Source organism: Homo sapiens, chromosome 7, assembly GCF_000001405.40.
Source record: "Homo sapiens chromosome 7, GRCh38.p14 Primary Assembly".
NCBI classification, from domain to species: Eukaryota; Metazoa; Chordata; class Mammalia; order Primates; family Hominidae; genus Homo; species Homo sapiens.
Window position 1 is genome coordinate 21,757,275 of NC_000007.14, and position 16,930 is coordinate 21,774,204.

General features: G+C 38.4%; 1 protein-coding gene across 1 annotated transcript in view, besides 4 other annotated features; it reads left to right on the forward strand.

Annotated features, from left to right (window-relative positions):
- DNAH11 (dynein axonemal heavy chain 11) overlaps window positions 1–16,930 on the forward strand; it is a 358,801-nt gene that overhangs the window by 214,236 nt on the left and 127,635 nt on the right. The window contains exons 55-56 of the mRNA NM_001277115.2: window positions 8,154–8,315; window positions 16,492–16,725. Of these exons, the coding sequence (NP_001264044.1) occupies window positions 8,154–8,315; window positions 16,492–16,725 (396 nt within the window). The remainder of the gene's footprint in view (window positions 1–8,153; window positions 8,316–16,491; window positions 16,726–16,930) is intronic.
- Window positions 7,928–8,443: an enhancer, noted in NCBI's record as "NANOG hESC enhancer chr7:21804820-21805335 (GRCh37/hg19 assembly coordinates)". NCBI's record gives its function as "activates a minimal SCP1, AML or CMV promoter by ChIP-STARR-seq in naive H9 embryonic stem cells {active_cell/tissue: H9 hESC(naive)}" and the evidence as "EXISTENCE:reporter gene assay evidence [ECO:0000049][PMID:30033119]".
- Window positions 14,478–15,110: an enhancer, noted in NCBI's record as "VISTA enhancer hs294". NCBI's record gives its function as "enhancer in: neural tube[3/5]" and the evidence as "EXISTENCE:transgenic organism evidence [ECO:0001131][PMID:17130149]".
- Window positions 14,478–15,152: a biological region, named in NCBI's record as "VISTA enhancer hs294".
- Window positions 14,544–15,152: an enhancer, noted in NCBI's record as "OCT4-NANOG hESC enhancer chr7:21811436-21812044 (GRCh37/hg19 assembly coordinates)". NCBI's record gives its function as "activates a minimal SCP1, AML or CMV promoter by ChIP-STARR-seq in primed H9 embryonic stem cells {active_cell/tissue: H9 hESC(primed)}" and the evidence as "EXISTENCE:reporter gene assay evidence [ECO:0000049][PMID:30033119]".

Genomic DNA, 16,930 nt, shown 5'->3' on the forward strand with positions numbered 1-16,930 from the left:
ATTCATTTATTTATTTATGCAATGGGAATGCCATTAACTTTCCATCATTGAGTATGGGATGAAATGTTGGCCTGAGGTATTTTAAATATTATTTTTTTAGGAAAAGGTGTTGCAGTTTATCCTATCCGTTTTTATTTAAACCCCCTTCTTTTACCTTCTTTCTTCATCTTGGCATGTTCTCTGACTATGGATTTCTATTATTTTCTTTCCTTCCAGCCTTTTGAGAGTGCTATGCAAGTTTTTATTCCTTTCTTCAGGTTCTTATATTAAATCAACTTCGGAGGAATTATCTGCCTTTCAATCTGCAGGATGCTTTTCTATTTTTCTTGGTTTTGTAAAGTATTTCTTCCTCTGGCTCCACTTAGGTTTCTTTCCTCTTTGCACGTAGAGACAGTAATTCACAGCTAAAGTCTGGCGACAGACAAGGTGGGTGATTTCCTCCTGGCTCACACAGCGTCATGTGCAGGGACCTGAGACTCTCAACAAAAAATGTCAAGCACCACTTGTATGCAAGCAACAGATTAACAGACACACACATGACATAAGCCAAAAAACTTAGTGGTAACGCAAGTAATTTTCAGGGTATGTTTCTCATTTTGTGTAAAAGCTCAACTACTCACCTGGCCAGTGGAAAATCAGATATCGCAGAACCTTATCCTTGCAAGATTGTAAAGTCGAGTCTCTTCAAACCTACCTCTGGCTGAGGAGCAGAACGTTTGGCTTCTTTCTCTTATGCAGATAGCCATCTCGACGGCTTCATCCATGAGAGAGGCACTCTTCACCCCTCCTGCAGCACATTCTGACACATGCACTAATGAGAAACAAGAAACACTCTAACAACTGGCTTGCCCAGCACTGGTTCCAGAGCTCTGTAAGTCTCTATGCTGCCAACTGTGTTTTGCTTTGCAGGACCACATCGCTCTGGATACAGTGCTCTAGTCTCTGTCCTCCATTTTCTGTTATTATTTGACATAAGTAGAATGAAAAGAACTTTAGAGAAAGACAAAAGGTGCAACCTTGTACTCTGTATCTGAGGTTTACCCTCTTTGAGATTAGATAAAACAGCAAAACCTCAAAAGAATTAGGATACAAATATCAATGTTTTATTTTACCCAGAAAAGTTTTTTTCAAACTGCTGTATATTTACTCATTCATGTAGCCATTCATCATTCAGCAAATATGTACTGAGTGCCCGTGATGTGCTGAGTCCTTGGAATGTGACAGGGAGCAAAGGCCAACCCAGCCACTGCCCACCTAGAGCCACCTCATTCAATCCAATAATCACACACAAAAAGTAAAATCACAACGATGTACTTGAGAGATAAAGGTTATGTAAGATAACAGAAGACAGGGCAAGAAAGATATCACGAAAAAGTAATGATCAAGAAGAGAATTCCAAAGAGTGAGTAGAAGTCTTTCCATTATTTTATATTGTAAAAGAAAATTTTTGCAGCAGAAATCCAGTGCTTAATCCCTTGAGTAAGAACATCACTGTACGTTGAATAGCCTTTGCATTTTGGAAAGCATGTCGTGCTTTTCTCATTTTGCTAGCATTCAGCTGTGGGGTTTGCTGGTAGAGTCTGAGGCCTGTTCTTGCAATGGTGCATGTGTGTAGAGTTATCCCATTGCGTCAGCAGAAACACCATCTACTCTAACAGAGCAGCGCTGATCAGAAGCCAGAAACTTGGCATGACACAATTCGAATACGGGGCTATCCAGAAGAAAGAAAAATAGGCATCTGATTTTCTTTAAAAACAAAACAAAACTTATACGTTGTTATGGGGCTAGAGACTGGCTTGGAACGCAGTCTGTGACCAGTGCAGGCCCTGGTGACAAGCATGGCAGCTGAGACGAGGGCTCTGCTTCCTGTCTTTCCCCTCAGGAATAGGTTTGCTCTTTGCTATCTATTGGGATTCCACACACAATTTTCTTCTTGAATAGGAGAGTTTTGTTCAGAAAAAGAAAGAAAAATTAACTAAAACTCGCTGATGTCAAACATTACCTCTAGCAAAAATCTGTGATGTCCAATATTTACACAAGTCAAAGGTTATGGGAATGAGTTTATTGTGTGCTATCTAAAAGGGAAATAAATAAGAAAATGTACTGAGTGTGCACATGTTGAAGCTATTGGATCTTTTAAAAACAAATTGAAATTGAAAGGTAATTAGATGGGGTGGTAATACAGGAAGATACGAGGACGATGATAAAGTGACACCGAAGCAGTCAAACCTGGGAAGGTTTTCTGCACTAAACCTCCATTCCTGCGAGGGTTTCCTCAGGTTTAGACTTGATTATTCTTGAAAAATACTGAGGCTTTTGAGGATAAATGCAAATGTAAGTGATGGATGGAAGCTTCTGAAGTAAATATGTAGGAGGGTTACTACCATCTGAGAATAAACTATATCAACTGGAAAAAAAATACAGAGTGACTGTAGCAATTCACATTTTCATTACCAGATGAAATGGACTGAGCCCTGTTAGTAATATACAAATAAATATGTACTTACGATGAGATCTTATCTAAAAGAAACGAAAACATATTACAAAGCACAGGGAAAAGTGGACTCCTGCAAATGAGTCATAACACCTGTGTGGGCAAAAGAAAAAAAGAATAGAAAATTCTATGGTATGAATTCCAAAAGCAAGTTCCTGACATCCAAATGTGAGAGCTGCAGGAAGTACGTAGATGGTGATTTCTGGGTTTGCTTTTTACTTGTGAGAATTTGAGAAAAGAGCACAGCTGCCAGAGGCGTTTTTAACTTTATTTTTTCACGGACTTTCTAATCCCACTGTTGGAAACTAACTTAAGCCAATTTGCTCACTTGCAATTGTCAAGAACTTTCTGGTGGGGGTGGGAGGAGAAGGGAGGGTGTAGTTCAGTGAATTTAGGTACTTCGAGGTAGATGACATCTGTTGAGTGAGGGAGAGGGCTTTTTCCCCAAATGTCCCAACTCAAGGTATGCTTCCAAGAAAGGATGTCTCAGACTGAAGCCTCCTACAGAGAGTTGATTGGTGATAATAAGGAGACGCACACACCAAGCCTTACAACCTGCTCTATAGATGAGTTTAGTGTAATCCCAGCTCTGTTCTTTTGGGGACCCGACTTGCCCATCCTTGGAAGGTTTCTTTGGGGCACATGTGGCAATATTTCCATGGAAGGATTCAGCTGACCTCGTAATCACATCAAAAGACTAGACTCTTAATAAGCATTTTACCACATGACTGGTCAAGTTCCAAAATCCCAAGGGCCACTGCCCCAAATGTAATTACTGAGATACCTTGATACTTAGATTTTGAAATTTTGTTGATACGTTGGCAGAGCTATGCACACATTTTTGATGGGGGAGGTTTTGCTTCATATATCTTGAGCACTACTTATTTCATCAGTGAAAAATCATGTCTACCATCCATGATGCTGCCTAACCAACCATTTATGTTGATGAGAGAAGTAGTTGGCTAAGAGCTTCTGGTAGCTGGATCTGCAGTGTGGGCTTCCATTAGAGTCCATGAAATGCTGGTTAGCCACCTTCCCACCAGTCTGTGTAGCCCTTATTGGTGTATTCCAGATATTAACCAACAGCCCCTAAGGTGTAAATAAAATGACTATTCACGTGCATATTATACTAGTAATTAAATTATAGACAATATAACACCCTTTTAAAATGATTTATTTTGTTTTTATTTCTTATAAGCCCTTTGCTATATTAAGCTTTCATTAAATTATGGGAAATATAATGGGAAAATTATTTGGAATGATTTTTCCCTCACAGTAATGTTCCTTGTGACAACTGGGGTTTACTTCAGGTTATCTGTAAAGTCGTGTAAACTGTCTTAGAAAAGAGCAGAATAACCAACGGTTTCCAGACATTACCATGGGTTTCTGGAAAAATCTCACATGACACCACTAGCAAGGAAAGCTGGATGGCAGGAGAAATTTTATGCTCAATTTTTAGCAAAACTAGAAATTATTGAGCAGTGAGTTGGGTCAATAACTGCACTTTCAAGGCTAGCGTGACACTCCCCTTTCCCTTCAAAAGAATTACTAATGAACAAGTATATGTCTATAATTTAATTCCCAGAGTCTGGTTTAGCTGATAGAATTTAGATTACATGTAATTATTTATTTAAAATTCTCTAAAGTTTTCATCTTACTCTGTGTGTAGAGACCTAGATTCTACGCGTATTTAACAAACTGCAAAAACATTAGAAAAGTCTATGTTTCATTTAAGTATTGCTGTAGACAATTTAAAACTATTAGGCTATCACTGTGGGTGTCAGAATCACCTTAGAGTGTTTGCTTAAAGCACGCATTGCTGAGTCCCACCTCCAGAGTTTCTGATTATTTATGTCTGGAGTTGGTCCAAGGATTTGCATTTCCAACCAGCTCCTAGACAGTTCTTTGACAACAACTGGTCTCCATGCCACCCTCCCAGGCCCACTCACAATATGAAATTTTACATAGTGTTGTGAGGATCCTTATTTAAGCAATAATACATAACATGGGAGAAAATATCTTCAATCATAAAATTGTAGAAAAGAATAATGGTTCTCTAAGTGACCATTCTGTATTATTTTTCAATAAATAATTAGTCCATTCTCACACTGCTATAAAGAAATGCCCGAGACTGGATAATTTATAAAGGAAAGAGGTTTAATTGACTCACAGTTCCATATGGCTGGAGAGGCCTCAGGAAACTTATAATCATGGCAGAAGGGAAAGCAAGTACCTTCTTCAGATGGCCGCATCTGAAGTGCATGCAGGGGAAATGCCAGATGCTTATAAAACCATCATATCTCATGAGAACTCCCTATCATGAGAACAGCATGGGGGAAACCACCCCCATGCTCCAGTCGCCTCCCAGTTGGTCCCTCCCTCGACACATGAGGATTATGGGGATTTCAACTCGAGATGAGATTTGGGTATGGACACAGAGGCAAACCATACCAATAATGAGGCCTTATCACTCAAGTAACTCAGGGAAAGCATTTTTGCCTGAGGTTGAACAAATATGGTTCAGATACAGTATTTTCTAACACATTCCTAAGATTGGATACTATGCCAGTTACAAGTGTGGAAATAAGTGTAGAAGTGATGGAAATATTTGGGATCTTGTCAAATAAAAGATGCTTTTTTTCCTCTGCCTTTGCTAACATTATGTGTAAATGACATTTCTAAAATTGGCACAAATGACAGATGAGTTGGGTGTGGGAAACCAACTTCTTGGGAAGAAAGGAGAAATATTCAAGTATAAGGAGAAAGCTGATAAGAAACCCAAGAATTGAGATATAGGTAAAAACTATGCATTTTAACTAAGGCTTGTTAAGTTAGCACATGAAATATTACAGCAATTATTTCGTTTGTAACTAGAGTTTTACATAATGAAAAAATGATTACTCAGCTTATGCAACATTAAAAAATGTTAAACCACATGCAAAAAAATGAAATTGGACCTTGTCTTACAACCTATGGAAGAATCAACTTGAAATAAATTAAAGACTTAAATATAGGGGAAATCTTCAGAAGATTCATCTTGGCAATGATTTCTTTGACATGACACCAAAAGCCAAGGAAACAAAAGCAAAAACAGACAAGTGTACTACATCAAACTAAAAAGCTTCTATACAGCAAAGGAAAGGATCAACAGAATGAAAGACAACCTATGTGAAATGGGAGAAAATATTTGCCAGCTGTGTATTTGATAAGGAATTAATTAATTCACATTTTAAAATCTGATTTTAAAATGGGCAAAGGACTTACGTAGACATTTCTGTAAAGAAGACATACAAGGCCAGGTGCGGTGGCTCACGCCTGTAATCCCAGCACTTTGAGATGCTGAGGCAGGTGGATCACGAGGTCAGGAGTTTGACACCAGCCTGGCCAACATAGTAAAACCCTGTCTCTACTAAAAATACAAAAATTAGCCTGGCGTGGTGGCAAGTGTCTGTAGTCCCAGCTACTCAGGAGGCTGAGGCAGGAGAATCACTTGAACCCAGGAGGCAGAGGTTGCAGCAAGCCGAGATTGTGCCACTGCACTCCAGCCTGGGCAACAGAGCAAGACTGTCTCAAAAAAAAAAAAAAAAAGAAAAAAAAAAAGACTTACAAATATCCAACAGGTATAGGAAAAGATACACAACATCACTAATCAGGGAAATGCAAATCAAAACCACAATGAAGCATCACCTCACATAGGTTAGGATAGTCATTATTTAAAAAAGCAAAAGCAGAAAATAATTGTTGGTGAGGCTGTGGAGAAATTGGAACCCTTGTACACTATTGGTGGGAATGTAAAATGCTGCAACTACTATGGAAAACAGTATGGTCGTTCCTCAAAAAATTGAAAACAGAATTGCCATAAGATCCAGCAATCCCTCTTCTAGGTATATAGCCAAGGACATTGAAACCAGGATCTTGAAGAGATATCTACACTTTCATGTTCACTGCAGCGTTATTCACGATAGCTGAGATATGCAAGCAACTAAAATGTCCATCAACAGGCAACTAGATAATGTGCTATATATACATATACATATACATATACATATATATACATATATATATATACACACACAATGGAATATTTTCATCTATAAAACAAAATCCTGTCATATGTCAACATGGATGAACCTCGAGGACATCATGCTAAGTGAAATAAGCCAGTCACAGAAGGACAATTACTATGTGATTCTGCTTATGCGCAGTATTGAGAGTAGTCAAACTCCTAGAAACAGAAAGTAGAATGGTGGTTACCAGGAGCTGGAGGGAGGGGAAATAGAGAGTTTCCATTCAATGGGTGTAGAGTTTCAGTAATGCAAGGTGAAAAAGTTCTAGAGATCTGCTGCACAGCGCTGGACTTACAGTTAACAATCCTGTATCGTACACTTAAAAATGTAAGAGGGTAGATCTCATGTTTTTTGACACAATAAAAGAAAACATTTTGATCTTAATATTTATATAGCTTGAATTGTTGAATACACATGGCATATAAAATAAACAATAAAACACTTGTTAAATGAGATATGGGTGCACGTATGCTGGAATTTTTTATGACATGGATTTTTTAAATGCTATAGGTAAAAAAAATCACATCCTTTGAAAAATGATTTCATCAATTGCCTGATCTCAAAGTGTTAGAGACTTAGAGGCAGCCACAAAGCTTGATATCATCAGGTCTGAGCCATTTCTAGAGAAGAGGAAACCAAGATTCTCCCTCTTAGACCTTACTCCCTGATTGACAGTTCTCTTCCCAGTGTCCTCACGTACGCAGGGACTTGAGAATAAAAGCAGAGAAGGAAAGGATGCTCACTGAACACCTCCTTTGTTTTAGCACTTTACACAGGGTGTCTCTGATGAACCCTCTGAAGCACACAGGAGCTGACCAGGTGCTCCTCTCACTGAGTTTCTGTGACCTACTGTCATAGCCAGATGTCACAGCCACCCTCAGGACTCCGACAGAATCCCTTGTGTCCCTAAAAAAAGTACGGAAGTATATTTAGATTTAAATTAACTTTTAGGTCATTACATAGCTACACAAAACTTTAGATTTACAGCAGAAACTTAAAAAATTCTCAGCAGGAGAATGTTTAAACTGATTTTTTTTCTTAAAGACCAGTGTGATGGTATAAACAGAATTTTTAATTCCTTTAAAAATCTGAAGCGGAAGCTCAAGTAGATGTATTTCATTTTAAATGGAAACACAAACATTAAAGATGATAAGACATTGTTTTTAAAGTGTATTATGCAGCTTTATGGAACCTGATGAATTACAAAATGGAAGAAACAGAAGATGAAAACATTGGTATTATTGTATCATGGTGATTTCTTCTTAATTTTTATTTTTATTATAATGTTACTTGTGTAATGTAAATGAATAAAATTTTCCCCTATTAATGATAACCAAAAATGTTTAAGCAAAGAGAGACAAGTTTTAAGGAAAGTACACAGCAGTGTTTCTGTGTCCAGTGGAGCAGCCTCTTTGGACAGGTTTCCACTTTGATTAGCAAGGAGGTTAATGTTGCTGTCCACTCTCTAGGGCTTTAGGGTAGTTTAATGTCACAGTTGGCTGCACTCCTTTCTCTCATTGTCTAAGATTGCAATGTAATTCTCTGCTCATTCATCACCCGCCTGTTTCTGCCTTGCCCCCATGTCTCCACAGATCATTTTGTGTTTCTCTCCAGTTGGTCGCACGCTGAGAGTTAGAGCTCGGAAGTTCCCAGCCATAGTTAACTGCACGGCTATTGACTGGTTTCATGCGTGGCCGCAGGAGGCTCTGGTCTCCGTCAGCAGGAGGTTCATTGAGGAAACCAAGGGAATTGAGGTATGCCGTGTCAGCCTGCGTCACACACACACACACACACACACACACACACACACACACACACACACACTCTGAAAATCCTCAGTAGGTAAGTGCTTTCCACAGTACATCTCCTATCAGAAAGCTATCCTGATTTGTTTAAGATGCTAAACTTATCTGTTAGTTTACATTCTAAGGAATATGATGGCTGACCTTTTTTCCACCATACATACTGAGGAGGATGTGCACACGTGCGTGAACACGGGCACGCACACAGCACTTGAGTATGTTCTCACTCATGCACTGACTCACTGGAAGCCCAGGATCATTACTTCCTTGAATCATAATGGGGCTTGCTGATTATAAATCCTTTAAGTCCAAACTAAAAGCCCAAACAGAAATGTAGTCACCGTAGCCACGCACTGCTTGCTTCTTAACCAAGTAAGGCAATGAATTGTGGTTATTCTCATAGTAGCAATAGTTGAAAAATCAGCCCCTGTATCCCATAACCACTAAGTCAAATAATATATCTACTTACTGTTTTACAGATTTATGTTTTATGGGTTATATTTGTCATTTCTTCATGATGACAAATTTAAAATTTAAAATCAAATTTAAAATCCCATGGCATTTTAAAATGGTTGTACAAAACAAAACAACAAAAGCTTCAAGCATTCAGATTCAGAGGGAAAAAGGATGTAGATATGAGGTTATGATTTAGATTTCCTGGAGATGAAGTTTTATTCATGTCTAGTGCCTTTCTGATTACATAGCTTGGAAAAGTGATTGTGGACATTTCCCAGGGAGCTTTGTCTTCTCATTCCATTGAGTGATAAGGTGAAAGGTTCCTAGAATAGGTCAGACACTGAAAGTGACTCTCAGAGGCAAACACAGAACTGGAGATATGTGAGGAATGATGTCTGTTTCTAGTTGAAAGATTATCATGAACAGGTACAACCCATTGTAGCCCCACCGTTACCCAAAAGGCATAACTGCCACCTTTCCAAAGCAATCCTTTTACATTTTGTTGTATATTGTATCATTCAGCGGCCATATGGTTAAAAATCTGGTCATATTTACATATTTAATTGTTTGTATGCAGCTAGCTTTATTGTTCATAATATCATTTTCCTTTGCTTCTACAAAAAAAAAAAAAGCAGCTATAGAGGTAAGTACACATGCAAGTATTCACCAACACCTACAGAATTTTGTGGAGGGAGACCTCTTCTCCTTTAGTCTTTTCCTGAAATGTTTATTAATCTAATTATTTGGTGGTGGATTGCTAGGGAAGAGCCGTCAAGCAACATCTAACTTGGAAGATATATATATGGTAGAGGCCTTAGGATATTCATATACCTCCCCTGTCCTTCTCTCCTCTACACTTGCACTTAAAACGTTTCCACAAATAAATGAAAATAAGAAATGATCTCTTCTAAAGTCTGCCAGAAACATTTTGTACTCTAACATCTGGAAAATCATTAAATGTGACAAATAATTGTCATAAATATTAACACAAATTTCGTATGTGATTGCCAGGTCTGCTGCATTTCTGGAATTTTCTAGGGCATCATTTTATCTTGTGATAGTTACAAGAAGGGTTCAAAATGCTGCTTTATTAAAGGGAGAGAGTCAGTATGTATCTTCTGATAGCAAATTTGTGTTTCATCAGGCTGGTTTGGTAAGGAAGAGAAAGGGGCCAGAGCACTTTGTTTCTGCATGTTACTTTGTCAAATGGTAGGAAATTAGAGCTAGTAGCATGGTTTAAGTTGGCATGTGGCACAGTGCTTTTTACAGTTTCTTCCCTTTGCTACTCTGTGCAGGCTTTTTCCTGTCCAGGTGGGTGCCACTTTGAAAACAGCTAAAGGAGTTTGATATGCCGTTGACCGTTGACATCTGCTGGATGAGGCAGGACTTGCATCGTGTTAAGTCCAGAGGGCTCCTGTCAGGTGCTAAGCTGGATCTGATGGTGTCATAACGCCTCCTATAGGATGCTGAGTGCCAAATAGGAATTTTAAAAACACTTTCCCATTTCTCTTGAACTGAATTGTGCCTCAAAACAAATGAGTCAGATGATTTCATTTCAGTGCAAGCTGCTTATTTAACTTTCCCACCTTCCTAATTTGTTGCGCAGGAGCAATAATTATAATTCAGAGTACAATGTGTCCATGGTCTTCTAAAAACCTGTGGTGTCTTTTCTGTAGAGGTCAAAAACAGCTTTTAAGTTTTTTGAATGAGCACTAATTTGATCACTTTCTTAGTTTTAATTTCCTTTTTTAAGACTGAAAGTTATCAGCATAATTTAGGCACTTCTTAATTATTGACGTCATTTGCTGAGTGTAAGGTGCTTACACAAGGTGACCCCCTTTGGCCACAGAGAAAGGAGTCGTTAAAGGCAAGCAGTTTTGTGTGTGTTGGCGTGTAATTTTCCATCAGTACACACTCAGCACCCAGGGGTACGGGTTGACTGCATCTAAATTAATGTTTGTGCTATTTTTCTGTTGCCTAATATTGAACTAAATGACAGCTGACAAATAATGACCAAAACAGTTTGACACTTAAGTATTTATCTGAAGACTTTGTGTCAACGCACACTACCTCTCCAAGGAGATTTTGAAATGGAGATGGGAGGAGGTGTGTAAGGAGGGAGAGAAGGAAAAGCCATCTGGGTAAACCTGGGAACAGTGTTGGAAAGGCTGTGAGAAGCTCGTTGGAGAGAGAACTGTGTGAAGAGCTTAGTGATTAGTACACGGTTTCTACAACGAAAAATCAAGAGAAGCTGCGGTGTTGAAAAACAAGTGATGTTTTTGCTTTTCAAGGTAAAATGAATCATAGACATCTTTGAAAGCAGAGCCAGATGAAAGGAGAAGTTACTGAATGGAAATGAAACAGTGAGCTGTCTGGTGAAGGAGTGAGATGTTTGTTGGATGGTGTAGAGTAGATCTGAGCAAGGTGAAAGAGGTCATCTTTGGGGGCATGTTGACCAACCGATGAGTTAAAATCCTCTGTCCTTATGTGGTGCCACTTAAAAGTAATGACACAAACTCCGTATCATCAGCTTTTTCAGGGAAAAGCAGTTATTCCCCATGCAACCACCTCTTCAATTGTTGCAGTTTGGTAGCTTGTGAAGGACATATTTTACTACTGTTTTCCACAACTGATGGCGAGAAAGTCCACTCTAAGAGGAAAGTTATTTTACTGCTATATTTAAAGACTTGTTTCCCCAATGGTCTGTAAATTCATTTTTAAAATGGCATGCCAAACACAAAGGGTATAAGACAACATTTTGTCAGTGATAGCTATCTTAGCAGAGTTTCTATCATATTAATGACTTTAAGCACAGTTCTTTATTTGAAATATAAATTAGGGTATACATATGTAACTAACCTGCACATTGTGCACATGTACCCTAAAACTTAAAGTATAATAATTTTAAAAAAGAAATATAAATTAGGATTATTCAATATGAATAAAAAGTAGAAAGATAACCTTATGCAGTAGAAATTGTGTGAATTTGAGGAAAATAATCCTCTTTCTAAGGAATATTGAAGCCATTTAAAAATATTAAGACAAATATAAATGCAACCACATTTATCTTGATTCTGCTTAAGTCTTATACTGGCTTAAGCATATCTTCAGATGGCTGAGGAAAGACACAAGTAGTTGTAAACATCCTTCCCCATTCTTCAAGCCTCGACCTCATAAGTAGGGTCCAGACTTTGTAGCTGCCCAGGAATCTGGACATGAATATTCAGTTGAAGGTGTAATTGACTTAAATGGAGCTATCCCTATAAGTTTGTAGTTTTGTGGCTTTTCTCTAGGTGCTGACCTTACCAGAAGCAGCCACACCATTCACACCATCTCCTGTTCTGTCCTCTTGCTATAAAAGAGGTAGCTGGATTGCTTTTTTATTCTTTGGTTTTTTTTTTCTTTTTTTGAGAGGGAGTCTCACTCTGTCACCCAGGCTGGAGTGCAGTGGCATGATCTCGGCTCACTGCAACTTCCGCCTCTCGGGTTCAAGTGATTCTCCTGCCTCAGCCTCCTGAGTAGCTGGGACCACAGGTGCACACCACCACGCCCTGCTAATTTTTGTACTTTTAGTAGAGACAGGGTTTCACCATGTTGCCCAGGCTGGTCTCAAACTCTTGACCTCGGGTTATCTGCCTGCCTCTGCCTCCCAAAGTGCTGGATTACAGGCATGAGCCACTGCATCCGGCCTGGATTTCATTTTTCCTCCACTCCTCCTGAGTCTTCAGTTGCTTCTTTGTTTCAACTTTCTGGCAGAGAACCATTGAAGGTACCTTTTTCAATGACTGCAAGCTCATCTAGGAAATTGTTGGCTTCTGCTGGACTTTGTCTTGCCTCTGACCAGTAGTTGAGCTCCAGAATTAAAGGCAAGATACAAAAAGCATAAGCAAATAACAAAATAATGCACTCACCAGACAACTCAAAACAAAAAAACAGCATACAATTTAGAAAACTGTGCTTGGTGCTACATTTAACACTTGTTGCTGCCCTGTGTAATGGCAGTAATCTTACTGCAACTGCTGTTGGTGCTACTGCTACCACAGTAGCAGAACTGATAGAGGTTCAGTATCCCTTACCCAAAATACTTGGTACCAGAAATATTTTGGGTTTCAGATTTTTTTTTGATTTTGGAATATTTGCATTTACATAATGAGATATCATGGGGATGGGACCCAAATCTAAACACAAAATTCATTTTTGTTTTATATACTCCTTATGCACATAGTGCAAAGGTAATTTTATATAAGATTTTGAAGAATTTTGTGCGTGAAACAAAGTTTTGACTGTGACCCATTACATGAGGTCATATGTGGAATTTTCCACCTGTGGTGTTAAATTCACACTCAGAAAGTTTTGGCTTTTGGAGCATTTCAGATTTTCAATTTTCAGATTAGGGATGCTCAACCAGTTCCTGCTGTGAATTTGCACTGCTTACCACCTCTCATCACCAGCCTCATGAGGAGGGACCAGTAGTTTCCCCTGGGATGGAGGCCCAAGAGTAAATAATGCCGCTGGTAAGGGGTACATCTGCAGTTTGACACCAGAGCCCATAGTCTTAAATCCTTCTTTTGACTATTGCATGAATGTTTGACTATTGGGAAAGCAGTAAAAGAAGAAAGGAAACAGAATTTTTAAAGGAGCAATTTTGTGGGCAGGAAGAAGTACAGGAGGGTATGCAGTATCTTACCAGATTTTTCAGAACTGGAAATCTAGCCCAGGTCCTAGGATTCAAACCCTTTGTCCCTGGCTCCCTCCGGAATCTTCTTCTCAGAGCAAAACAGCACTATGAAGAGCTTAGGACAAGTGTTAAAATGCAACACTGCCCATTTTATGCATTGTAAGTTTTCTTTCTTTAATAAGCCACCATGCAACCACAAATATCTTATTAATATATTCTTCTACCAGCCCTAAAAGGAGCAAAAAGATCAAATAGATTGTGTAGCACATCAGTTTGACATATTTAAAATTTAACACAGAAATAATTTCTGAGAAAAATGTTCAAGACTTACTGTAGGTATATGGCATTTAATGTGACAAAATTGTCCCAAGTTACACTTCAAAAAGAGAGAAAATAGATTCTTTCACCTGCCCCTTTCTCTTTTGCCCTTCCTCCCTCCCTCCCTTGAATACAGTGCTCTTGAAAGCCCAAATTTAGTATTACAGACCAATGTAGTCATCTTTGCTGGTCTTGGGAAGGTATAAAATCCTAAACTGATTTAGTGCTGACCTCTGGGTATTGGTTTATATTCAACTCTGCTGTTTGTCATTTTCAAGAGGAATATACTGGGCACTTGCTTGAAGTGCCAGGTGGCTGGAGTACTTGGTGTGGCAGAGACTACTCCTGCCCGAGAACTGTCACACCAAATAGCAGAGATCTGTTTATGTTTTTGTGTTGACAGTGAGCCAACTGAGAGAGTAGAAATTAAACACGTTTTCTTAATGTGAGGGAAAGCAGTTTCATCTTTGCATTTGATTATGCGTTGGAGACAGCATCGTTTTCCAGAGCATCTTAGTGGGGAAACCTTGAGTTTATAACCATTCGATACTGGCACTCTGCTTATTTTTATTTTTGCCATCATCATGATTAGCTGCTAAATGACTATAAGTGGTTATCAACTGGTTTTTATTAAGAGGCCAAATCTAGCAGGAATGATATTCTCCCCTCACGTCTCTCAAAGTGAAAAATACAGCATTGCGTAGCCCTCGCTGCGGCAGCACCAGCAGCAACTCCTCTCAATTCTCCCCCAACGCCCCCCACAAAAAAAAATAATAAAATAAAATAACTGGAGATAAATGAATGGCAGAATAAATAATTTATGCTAATGAAATTACTGCAATTAGTAGTTCTACAATGACCCTTTTAAAAGCCACAGCTGTTAATGTCAGGAAGTGCTGTCACTACTGACCTTATCATAAGAGAAAGTGACAAATTGAGAATGCAGGGAAGACCAGTCATCAAAGAGGTCTGTTCTGGAACGATTAGAGTTTTCTGAAAAACAGTGTGAATTACAACCAGCTGCTCCCTGGCTCAGCGAGTCTCCCATGCTGTGCCATTTTGTTAAGCCTGATAACAATAGTTATTTTGCCCCATTGAGACAAGTTGTCTCAGGCCACTTTCAGCTCTACCGGAAACCACTTCTTCCATCCCCGATTTACAAATGAAACTGTTGTTAAAGAGAGCTTTCAGCGCCTCCAAGGAGCCTCCTCATAAGGATCATGGTTGGGCAGAGGCCAGAGTGTTTTTTTTTTTTCTTCTTTCTTTCTTTTTTTTTTTCCCTTCCTGTAAGGAGGTTACACTTGGCTGAGGAATTATTTATCTATATTGTAGAAAGGTATGTGTGTACCTTTAGTTCCCATTAAAACAAGACAGGACAGGAGTAAATTCCTGCACATGTCTGTATTGAAGTCAAGCTCTTGTAAAAATAAAGTCTCCAAAGGATTATGATTTATATGAAGTTTATATAAACTTCTTCATAAATTTTATTTTTCTGAGTTCACTGTTTGGAAATATATTTGTATCTGGGGTCCACTAGAAACCAAGAATATTTGGAATTTATATCACGTTATTTTTAACTTTTGTTTTAGTAATACATTATTTCAGTTACTAGTGAGATGGATTTTTAATACGCAGCACAATGCAATATGTGGGTATTCCAAACCCACTCGGGAATTTGTCGTGATGTTGGAAAGTTGATTGTTTAAAGACATTGTTCAGGAGCAGTTGTTTTTCACCAAGAATTGGCTGGTCTCTCTTCACACCTCTGCTTGTAATATTAATGGTGCAGGTTTGAAATGTTTGACTGCATCACCAGCCACGTGTGTGCAATTTTCCCAAAGACGTCTGAGCATTATTGACAACACTTTGGTAAATTATGTGTGACTTTCCTAAGAGTTGGTGTAGCTCATTTAATTCATATTAATTGATTTGTAGGCTTCCCTTGATTAACTGAACCTGGTTCATCTTGTACAGAATGCAATAAATAATCATTAAAATGAGGGAGATGTGACTCTGCAAATTAAAAAGTTAACTACTTCAGAAGTCATAGAGGACAAAATGGAAAGAATGTATAGTGGGGGGTCTTCCAGTAACTCATTGAAGGAGAGTTGCTCTTTTTGTGGGTTTTCTTTCCCAAATATGAATAGAAATGATCATGATATTTTTCTCCCAGAAGCAGTGACATTTATACCCTACTATCCAGTTTGTTTTTACATGAGTTCTCATAAAACTGTGAGTTTCTAAGTTTTGGCTTTTTTTTTTTTTTCAGTGACTTTGCAGGGTTATTGCTTCTCTTTGTCTAAAGCTTAGTTTGAAAGCAATGGCAGAAATATTTCTCAGGATATTGTGTCTGTTTCTCCACCTTCTCTTTCACACACTCGGTAGATAAAAATCAAGTTGTGAAGATCTGTATATGCTGGCTTTTGTATTTGGTATGTGGAGCACATAAAAACCCTTTGTCCTACTTGGCAAGAAGAAGGTTACTCAAGCTGAATGCTTTATTGTAATCTCCCAAATCCTGTGGATAGCGCTTAAAGATTAAATAAGTTTTCGTAGGTTATACTATCATTTTTTTTTCTGACTTTTAGAAAAAAAATGATCATTTACTTGATTTTTTTTAAGTTGTATTTTTAATTTGAGAGGATTTCACATGAACTGTAATGTTTGTGTTTTCAGCCAGTGCACAAAGACTCTATTAGCCTTTTCATGGCACATGTTCACACCACTGTAAATGAAATGAGTACCAGATATTACCAGAATGAGAGAAGACACAACTATACCACCCCAAAGAGTTTTCTAGAACAAATATCACTGTTTAAGAACCTGTTGAAGAAGAAGCAAAATGAGGTATCCGAGAAAAAAGAACGCCTGGTGAACGGCATCCAAAAGCTAAAAACCACAGCCTCTCAGGTATGACCAGGATGTGTTATTACTGAGTAATATTTATGCTGTTTAACAGAAAAATATATTTCCTTTTGAAGCACTACTAAATCCATTTCTATAAGATGCCAGCTGGTGAAATTTACAGTTTCATGACACCAAGAATACACTGCTACTGCTTTCAAAAGCCTACAATGGGATTGGCCGACTCACAGCTGGATTAGGGTGAAACGTT